Consider the following 10,972-nt stretch of genomic DNA (forward strand, 5'->3'; position numbering starts at 1 on the left):
CCTTACAGAAACTCCATATGATTTTCTTTGCTAAGAAATATGTACAAGCTCAACTCCACTAATAAAGGAATGTAAATTAAGATAGTTTGAGATAACATTGTTGCCTTTCTCATTGCAAATATTTATAGTATCCAGTGTTGCCAAAGGGGAAATGTACACTCTTATTTACTGCAAATGTACAACATCACTGAGAGGCATTAATACACTGCACTTCCACTCTTAAGGATATATCCCAGGCGTAACCAGGTAGCTCAAAGGTACAGTTAAAATCATTTTCATTTTAGAATTATTTATAATTTCAAAAACTTAGAAACGATCTAAATGTCTAATACACACAAAGAGAAGTTGTACATTCTGGTTCTTCCATACAGTGGGCATTGGAGGTAGTTAATGGACATGGAAAAGTTTCATGACATATTCAATCAAGGGACTCAGCCCGGCCAACATGGTGAAACCCCATCTCTACTAAAAATACAAAAATTAGCCATGTGTAGTGGCACAAGCCTGTAATCCCAGCTACTCGGGAGGCTGAGGCAGGAGAACCACTTGAACCGGGGAGGCGGATGTTGCAGTGAGCCAAGATTGTGCCACTGCACTCCAGCCTGGGCGACACAGCAAGACTGTCTCTAAATAAATAAAGGGACTCTTCTTCAAGTCATGTGCCATTGATAATGTGGTACAAAATAGGACCAAAAAATATTTAAAGCAAAAAGAAATTCACTCATTAACTTAAGTCATTCCAAAAACATTTGTTTAGCATTCTAATGTACCAGGCATTGCATTAGACATTTAGGTTAAGAAGTAAAAAATTCAGTCCCTGCCTTAAGGACTCAATTCAGTACGTTAAGCCTATGAAAACCTAAAAGAGAGACTTCCAAGAGAAGGTGATACCAGACTTGAATTTTAAAGAATAACTAGGAATAAGCCAGATGAAAAATTTGGGGAAGGTTATTCCAGGATATGAAGTCTCCAGAATGGTTGGACATTTTAACCTTAGAAGACAACTGAATTCAACTATGTCTCTTAAATAATTAGGTTGTTCTTCTAGATAGAACTATAGAGCATTAAAAGGGTTGCTTTGTTTATATGTGTTGAAAAATGCATGCTATCACCCCCACTTAGGTTACACTCTTTATTTTTTTTATTTTATTTATTTACTTTTGAGACAGTCTCCCTTGGTTGCCCAGGCTGGAGTTCAGTGGCGCAATCTCAGCTCATTGCAACCTCCACCTCCTGGGTTAAAGCAAATCTCATGCCTCAGCCTCCTGAGTAGCTGGGATTACAGGTGGGCGCCACCATGCCCAGCTAATTTTTTTTGTATTTTTAGCAGAGATGGGGTTTCATTACATTGGCCAGGCTGGTCTCGAACTCCTGACCTCAAGTGATCTGCCTGCCTCTGCCTCCCAAAGTGCTGGAATTACAGGGATGAGCCACTGGGCCCAGCCACACTCTCTTTGTAGATACTCTTCCCTCCCCCCGCCCTCCCATTAGAGGCGAGAGTCTTGCTGTGCTGCTCAGGGTGGTCTCAAACTCCTGATCTCAAGCGATCCTCCCACTGCGGCTTCCCAAAGTGCTTGGAACTGTGTAAGTCGCCACACCAGCCTATAGGCACTTTTTATGTATAAAGAACCTGAGTTTGGGTAACTGTGATCCCATGACATTAAATAGTATCGTGATTACTTAAAAGCTCAGCATAATGTTTTTTACCCTTGTGCAAAGGAGAAATGGAACTGACCCTGTGCTCACACGATAGGCTGCCGAAAACAGATCATCCTGAATACTTGGTTTTTTTAATGAATGAAAGTTATGTGGCTGGGCACGCTGGCTCACACCTGTAATCCCAATACTTTGGGATGCTGAGGCCAGCAGATCACGAGGTCAGGTGTTCGAGACCAGCCTGGCCAACATGGCGAAACCCCATTTCTACTAAAAATACAAAAAAATAGCAGGGTGTGGTGGCGGGCTACTGTAATCCCAGCTACTCGGGAGGATGAGACAGGAGAATGGCTTGAACCCAGGAGGCGGAGGTTGCAGTGAGCCAAGATCGCACCTCTGCACTCCAGCCTGGGCGACAGAGCGAGACTGTCTCAAAAAAAAGAAAAACAAACAACAACAACAAAAATTATGTTAGCATAATTAAGTGCCCATGCCAAAATTATAATTGTTACATGAAAATGGTGAGTGATCACTCCCCAGCTGGGCCTGGGACGCCACAGCTGAGAGACAGACACTCATGGCAAATGGGACCGCTCTTCTCATTCTGCCTTCCTTCAGGCCCCCTGGTCTCTCCTCCCCGCCCGTGGGAGGTGGTGCGTGGGAGGCAGGGGTACAGAATCTAGCCCAACATCTCTGCCCCCGCCCTCTGCCTCATGGTGTCGGTGGATGTGGGGGGCCTTCTGATCTAGTTTATTTATTTATTTTTTAAAATTTTGGGGGCCAGGCGCGGTGGCTCACACCTGTAATCCCAGCACTTTGGGAGGCTGAGACGGGCGGATCACCTGATGTCAGGAGTTTGAGACCAGCCTGATCAATATGGAGAAGGCCTATCTCTACTAAAAATACAAAACTAGCCAGGTGTGGTGGCACATGCCTGTAATCCCAGGACGGAGGCTGAGGCAGGAGAATCGCTTGAACGCAGGAGGCAGAGGTTGAGGTGAGCCGAGATCGCGCCATTGCACTCCAGCCTGGGCAACAAGAGCAAAACTCCGTCTAAAAAAAAAAAAAAAAAAAATTGGGCCAGACGCGGTGGCTCACACTTGTAATCCCAGCACTTTGGGAGGACAAGGTGGGTGAGTCACCTGAGGTCAGGAGTTCAAGACCAGCCTGGCCAACGGGGTGAAACCCCAGCTCTACTAAAAATACAAAAATTAGTAGGGCGTGGTGGCAGGTGCCTGTAATCCCAGCTACTAGGGAGTCTGAGGCAGGAGAATTGCTTGAACCTAGTAGGCAGAGGTTGCAGTGAGCGAAGATCTCACCACTGCACTCCAGCCTGGGTGACAGAGTGAGACTCCAGCTAAAAAACAAAAATTAATTTTGTTTTCAAAAAACAGAAAAGGAAAAAAAATGGTGAGTCTGGGAACGGCAAGTAGGTTGTTAATGGGACTTGACTAGAGATGAAGCTAGAGGCCAGACGAGGTGGCTCATGCCTGTAATCTAAGCACTTTGAGAGGCTGAGGTGGGCAGATGGCTTGAAGCCAGGACAGCCTGGGCAACATGGCAAAACCCTGTCTTAAAAAAAAAAAAAAGCCCAGCACGGGGTCACGTGTCTGTAGTCCCAGCTACTGGGTACTGGAGAGGCTGAGGTGGGAGGATGGCTTAAGCCTGGGAAGTCTAGGCTGCAGTGAGCCATGAAGGTGCCACTGCACTCCAGCCTCTGTGACACAATGAGACCCTGTCTAAAAAAAAAAAAAAAAAAAGAGAAGAGACTAGAGAGGTGGGATGGACCACTGTAAACCTGGCTTTGGACTTTCAGACTGGACTCTACCCTGAAGGCAACCTGCTGCCTTTAGAGGATTTCAATCAATAACGTAACAGGATTTCACTAGCCTCTTAAGAAAATCCCAGACAGTCGGGGTGGTTCATGCCTGTAATCCCAGCACTTTGGGGGGCCAAGGCGGGCAGATCATCTGAGGTCAGGAGTTCAAGACCGGCCTGACCAACATGGAGAAACCCTGTCTCTACTAAAAATACAAAAAATCAGCCGGGTATGGTGGCGCATGCCTTTAATCCCAGCTACTCAGGAGGCTGAGGCAGGAGAATCGCTTGAACCCGGGAGGTGGAGGTTGTGGTGAGCCCAGATCGCGCCATTGCACTCCAGCCTGGGCAACAAGAGCGAAACTCCATCTCAAAAAAAGAAAATTACTAGCAGCTACCCAACCCTCACTATATATTTGGGTAGAATCATCCATTATATAGAACTGATGGAGTGCAGTGTTTACATTATTCTATAATTTGGATTTTAAAGATGAAAAATTGTGTGGGATGAGATGATTAACATATTTTCATTCCAGAAAGGGGCTTAGTTTTAGGCCTTTTCCTAAGAATGTTGAGAAACCAAAGATTAAGAAAAATGTCATCTCCCCATAGATATCACACTATCTTTAGTGAGGAGCTGTGTATAAGTATTACTTAACTGTTAAGCAAATAAATGTATTTGGAAGATTCATGTTGCTGTGTGTGGCACACAGTCCTAGGAAACTGGTGTGACACAGTCCTAGAAAAGCATATGGTCACCTTTGTCATACATGCAGCCAGGCTCAAATATAGAAAATGACAATTTGAAGCTGTAATTCCCCAATTCAGTGGGTCTTAGTCTTCAGTCATTAGATTCACCTGGAACCTTAAGCCTCACTTGATACAGTTTATAAATGCTAATACCCGATAGGTGCAGCACCAACATAATGCGCATGGAAGTCTTGGAATCATTTACCAAGAAGATCCTGAGCACAGAAGTTGGTGAGATGGCAAAGCAGTATATAGAGAAAAGTCTTTTGGTTCCAGACCATGTGATCACATACCTAATGATGTCTGAGTTGGAGAATAGGTGTGGCCAGCACTGGCTCCTCGATGGTTTTCCTAGGACATTAGGACAAGCCGAAGCCCTGGACAAAATCTGTGAAGTGGATCTAGTGATCAGTTTGAACATTCCATTTGAAACACTTAAAAGATCGTCTCAGCCGCCGTTGGATTCACCCTCCTAGCGGAAGGGTATATAACCTGGACTTCAATCCACCTCATGTTCATGGTATTGATGTACTGGTGAACCATTAGTCCAGCAGGAGGATGATAAACCTGAAGCAGTTGCTGCCAGGCTAAGACAGTACAAAGACATGGCAAAGCCAGTCATTGAATTATACAAAAGCCAAGGAGTGCTCCACCAATTTTCTGGGATGGAGACGAACAAAATCTGACCCTACATTTACACACTTTTCTCGAACAAGATCACACCTATTCAGTCCAAAGAAGCATATCGACCCTGCCCAGTGGGAGAACCAGGAAGAGGTGGTCATTCATTCAATTGTGTGTGTAGTATTGGTGATGTGTCCAAATTAGAAGCTAGCTGAGGTAGCTTGCAGCATCTTTTCTAGCTGAAATGGCGAACTGATAGGAAAACAAATGAGTAGAAAGAGTTCACAAAGAGGCCCTCCTCTGCCTTTCAAAAGGAAGGTCACCTACACATTTAAGGTGTCTCTGCACATGTCTCAAGCCCTTCACAAGAAAGCAAGTACAGCCGGGCACGGTGGCTCACGCCTGTAATCCCAGCACTTTGGGAGGCTGAAGCAGGAGGATCACGACGTCAGAAGACCGAGACTATCCTGGCTAACATGGTAAAACTCCGTCTCTACTAAAAATACAAAAAAATTAGCTGGGCGTGGTGGCAGCCGCCTGTAGTCCCAGCTACTCGGGAGGCTGAGGCAGGAGAATGGCGTGAACCCAGGAGGCGGAGCTTGCAGTGAGCCGAGATTGCACCACTGCACTCCAGCCTGGGCAACAGAGTGAGACTCGTCTCTCAAAAAAAAAAAAAAAAAAAGAAAGCAAGTACAGTGTGGCAGTGTGGGAATCCTCAAAAAGCATGGGAAGTATAAGTATTTAGCTACATAAATGTTGTAAGATCATATCTTATGTATAGAAGTAATAAGACCGTTTGGAATTACTGGACAAATTGAATAGTTAAGGTTTCTATTCAGGACAATAAAATGTATTTTGAAAGTGCTGCTAACTATTGATGCTGACAGTGTTTCACTACTATGAGTGACCCAAACATATTATAAATAAGTGTTAAAGGGAATGGAGCCTGTGGGGTTGAGCAGAATGTTATACTAGCTGTGCCTGGGCTGAGTATAACAGCTTTATGATTATGGGATAACAAAATCTTTATTTTTTTTTTTCTGTTCCAAAGATTCATCCTATGGGGTGGCCATAAAGTATAGAATTAGATACTAATATTTTGTAATTCATTATAACATCAATAAACCATTTGTTAAAAGAAAATAAATAAATAAATAAATAAATGTTAATACCCAAGCCAATCACATCAGAATCTCAAGTGGGACCCAGACAGATATCAGAGATATCAGTGTTTTTTTTATAGCTTTCTAGGTAATTCTTTTTTTTTTTTTTTTTTTTTTTGAGATGGAGTCTTGCTCAGCTGCCCAGGCTGGAGTGCAGTAGTGTGATCTCGGCTCACTGCAACCACCGTCTCCCAGATTCAAGCGATTCTCCCATCTCAGCCTCTGAGTAGCTGGGATTACAGGCACCCACCATCATGCCTGGTTAATTCTTGTATTTTAATAGAGACAGGGTTGACCATCTCAGCCTCTGAGTAGCTGAGATTACAGGCACCCACCATCATGCCCGGCTAATTCTTGTATTTTAATAGAGACAGCGTGACCATGTTGGCCACGCTGTCTTGAACTCCTGACCTCAGGTGATCCGCCTGCCTCAGCCGCCCAAAGTGCTAAGATTACAGGCGTGAGCCACTGCACCCAGCCATAGTTTATTTCTAAATCAAATGTGGTTAGTAAGCTGGGCACAGTGGCTCACGTTTGTAATCCCAGCATTTTGGGAGGCCAATATAGATGGATCACTTGAGGTCACGAGTTCAAGACCAGCCTGGCCAACATGGTGAAACCCTGTCTCTACTACAAATCCAAAAATTAGCTGGGGCTGGGGGCAGTGGCTCACGCCTGTAATCCCAACACTTTGGCAGGCAGAGGTGGACGGATCTACCTGAGGTCAGGAATTCGAGACCAGCCTGGCCAATGTGGTAAAACCTCATCTCTACTAAAAATACAAAAATTAGCCAGGTGTGGTGGCACACACCTGTAATCCTAGCTACTCGGCAGGCTGAGGCAGGAGAATCACTTGAACCCAGGAGGCGGAGGTTGCAGTGAGCCGAGATCGGGTTGCTGCACTTCAGTCTGAGCGACAGAGTGAGATTCCGTCTCAAAAAAATAAATAAATAAAATAAAATAAAATAATCCAGGCATGGTGGCGCACCCTGGTAATCCCAGCTACTCATGAGGCTGAGACACAAGAATCACTAGAAGCCAGGAGGCGGAGGCCGCAGTGAGCTGAGATCTCGCCACTGCACTACAGCCTGGGTGACACAGCAAGACTCTGCCGCAAAAAAAAATAAAGAAAAAAGATGTGGTTAGTAAACAAGAAATTATCATTTAGGAAAATGTACTCTAATTTCCAGAATCTAAATGAGATTAATGGAAGTTCCGTGATCAGCAACTACAGAAAAAACTATATTATGTTGTACAGTAAAATTAGAAGGTCTTTATTCCTCTGCTAAATTAAACCTTTTAAAATAGGTTGTTAGAACATTTTACTTAGTGTTTAAGCTTTAAAAAATATATATTTCGCTTATGTCATTTTAACTAGTTGAGAAAAATCTAATACAGAAAGTAACACATAGCAGTACTAATCTAGTTTTAGTTCCATGAGTCATAATCGTAGAAGCTTGGAAGACAAAAAGAGAGAGAAAAAAAATCTATTGAATTGAGGCCCTGGAAAAATGAGGTAAGACTAACTTAAATGGAAACAAGTTTGGTAAGCCACCTCCAGACTATAGTACACATTTATTACATTCAGCCTTTGTGTTGTGTTCTTTACAGATGGGTGAGAATTAAGAAAAGAATATAGGCTGGGTGCGGTGGCTCACGCCTGTAATCCCAGCACTTTGGGAGGCTGAGGAAGGCAGATCACCTGAGGTCAGAAGTTCGAGACTAGCCTGACCAATATGATGAAACGCCGTCTGCACTAAAATTACAAAAATTAGCCGGGCGTGGTGACATGTGCCTGCAATCCCAGCTACTCAGGAGGCAGAGACAAGAGAATTGCTTGAATCTGGGAGGCGGAGGTTGCAGTGAGCCGAGATCGCGCCATTGCACTCCAGCCTGGGCAACAAGAGCTAAACTCCATCTCCAAAAAAAAAAAAAAGAATGTAATTTTCCTCTTTTTCTAATTCACCCTCAGCCATTATTAACCAATTAACCAAGGTGGTGGCATACAAGGTGAACAGAACAATTGAGCAAATTAATATTACTGTTCTTTTCCTTTTTGTTTTTTTTTTATGTTCCCAAACATTTGACTATTAAATATTTGGAAACCAAAGTGAATTCACTGTTTTTTTGGTACTACTAATTTAACTTGGAATTGTGATAATTCAGCAAGCTTGGTAAATATTAACCTTGCAATAGGAAGAATGAAAGAAGACCACAGCCATATCCCCTAAGGTTTCAATTCCAAATGCAGAGATGAGTGCAACTGGCTGGCTGTGTGTGAAGAACAGATGGTGATCAGGCAAGAATAAAAGCAAAGAGACCATTTAGGACAACACTTAAATAGTCTAAGCAAGGTGGAGGCTGAAAAGAAAAAGAAAAGGATTCAAGATATATTTTGCCGGGCGCTGGGGCTCACACCTGTAATCTCAGCAATTTGGGAGGCAGAGGTGGGCAGATCACTTGAATTCACGAGTTCAAGACCAGCCTGGGCAACATGGAGAAACCCCTGTCTCTACAAAAAAAAAACAAAAATTAGCCAGGTGTGATGGCGCCAGCCGGTAGTCCCAGCTACTCAGGAGGCTGAGGTGGGAGAATCACTTGAACCCAGGAGGTCGAGGCTGCAGTCAGCCAAGATGGTGCCACTGCACTCAAGGCTGGGCAACAGAGTGAGACCCTGTCTCAAAAAAAAAAAAAAAAAAAGATATATTTTGAAAACCCCATCTCTACCAAAAAAAAAAAAAAGAAGAAAGAAAAAAAGAAAGAAAGAAAAGTAAAGAGCACCAACGGGATTTGTTACTGTTTTGGACATGAGGGAGTGAGGAAGAGTGAAAAGGGAGAAACAAGGCCGGGCGCGGTGGCTCACGCCTGTAATCCCAGCACTTTGGGAGGCAGAGGGGGGCGGATCACGAGGTCAGGAGATCGAGACCACGGTGAAACCCCGTCTCTACTAAAAATACAAAAAATTAGCTGGGCGCAGTGGCGGGCGCCTGTAGTCCCGGCTACTCGGGAGGCTGAGGCAGGAGAATGGCGTGAACCCGGAAGGCGGAGCTTGCAGTGAGCCGAGATCATTCCACTGCACTCCAGCCTGGGCGACAGAGCGAGACTCGGTCTCCAAAAAAAAAAAAAAAAGGGAGAAACAAAAGATGGCTTCTAGGTTTTTGACTTGAGCAAGTGGGGAGAATACACCCGTGACTGAGGTGTTCCTGACGGGAGTTGAGCTAGAAGAGGACTAGCAGTGAAATCAATGAGTAGCTTCACTTGCTTGCCATTGGCCAGGCTCTGGGAGGTATTTTAATTTTCTTTTTCTCTGTGTTAGATGGTAGAGGAGACTCAAGACCAAGCCTGGGGCTCTTTGAAAGGTAAATAGGGGTGCTTAGAGGAGAAGGAACTAGGAGATTGAGAAAGGAGAGGCCAATGTGGTAAACAGAAAATAGGAATGTGGAGTTAGGGAAGCCAGGGGAGGAAAGTGACTCAAGAAGGAGGAAAATGATCAGGATGTGATTGTGCTTACTCATGCCCCTGGTTAGTATGATAATTGCTAATGGAAAGTTATGAGACATATCTGTACTGGTGACTGCACCTGGGAAAGAGCATGTATTTGTGCTACAGCGACATTCACATGCTGTTTTCCCCTCCACCTTTCCCCACAAAATGTTCGTTATATGTCAGGAAATTGATGACGGTACATTTATTTCCCTTAACTATATTTCTTACCTCTGCTTTAAATAACATTGAGAGATCTTACATAATTGCAAAAGTAATGCGTGTTAATTGAAGGAAGTTTGGGAAATGTAGAAAAGCTCAAAAATGAAAGAAAAAAACACACCCAAGGGGCCCGGGCGCGGTGGTTCACGCCTGTAATCCCAGCATGTTCGGGGGCAAAGGTAGGCAGATCACGAGGTCAGGAGTTTGAGACCAGCCTGGCCAACATGGTAAAAACCCATCTCTAAACAAAAGAAAAAAAAATTAGCTGGGCACAGTGGTGCGCACCCGTAGTCTCAGCTACTCAGGAGGCTGAGGCAGGAGAATCGCTTAAACCTGGGAAGCGGAGGTTGCAGTGAGCTGAGATGGCGCCACTGCACTCCAGCCTGGGCGACAGAGTGAGACTCTGTCTCAAAAAAAAAAAAAAAAAAAACCACCCATAATTGCAACACTCATTTGCTGTATGTTTGTCTTCCCACTAAATGGATGTGGATTACAGAATTGAGATTATGCCAAACATACTGTGCCCTGCTTTTTTTTCACGTAAAAATATATCATTAACATTTTCCATGTCACTTGTGGAATTTTGGGGTTTTTTTGGTTCTTTGTTTTGTTTTGTTTTGTTTTTTGAGATGGAGTCTTGCTCTGTCGCTCAGGCTGGAGTGCAGTGGTGCAATCTTGGCTCACTGCAACCTTTGCCTCCCAGGTTCAAGTGATTCTCCTGCCTCAGCCTCCTGAGTAGCTGGGACTACAAGCACCCATCACCACACCCAGCTAATTTTTGAATTTTTAGTAGAGACGAGGTTTCGCCATGTTGGCCAGGCTGGTCTCGAACCCTTGACCTCAAGTGACCCACCTGCCTTGGACTCCTAAAGTGCTAAGATTATAGGCATGAGACACTGCGTGGCCACTTGTGTTTAAATATTAATTGTATATAATATAATAACTGTATATTAATATATGACTAAACCATAATAAATCAATTTAAGCAATCTTCTGTTATTTAAATTCAAGTTTTTTCCTGATGTTTTGCTATTATAAACATCATAAAATTATGTACTAGTTACCAGCATAGCCTTTAGCACCTAACACATCTGGTGCTACTACCATGACCTACTGGCTGTGTATTTATGAGAAATTATTGAACAAATTATTGAAGTTTCAGTTTCCTCACCTATAAAACAACTATACTAAGAGTGCCAGGCATGGTGGCTCACACTTATAATTCCAGCACTTTGAGAGGTTGAGGTGGGCAGATC

At 43.9% G+C, this 10,972-nt stretch overlaps 1 pseudogene, besides 1 other annotated feature; it reads left to right on the plus strand.

Moving 5' to 3' along the window:
* Positions 4,448–5,170, plus strand: AK4P6 (adenylate kinase 4 pseudogene 6; annotated as a pseudogene).
* Positions 9,281–9,560: an enhancer, noted in NCBI's record as "active region_22018". NCBI's record gives its function as "activates an Ori minimal core promoter by ATAC-STARR-seq in GM12878 lymphoblastoid cells {active_cell/tissue: GM12878}" and the evidence as "EXISTENCE:reporter gene assay evidence [ECO:0000049][PMID:35858748]".

The sequence above is a fragment of the Homo sapiens genome, chromosome 4 (assembly GCF_000001405.40).
Source record: "Homo sapiens chromosome 4, GRCh38.p14 Primary Assembly".
Taxonomy (NCBI): Eukaryota; Metazoa; Chordata; class Mammalia; order Primates; family Hominidae; genus Homo; species Homo sapiens.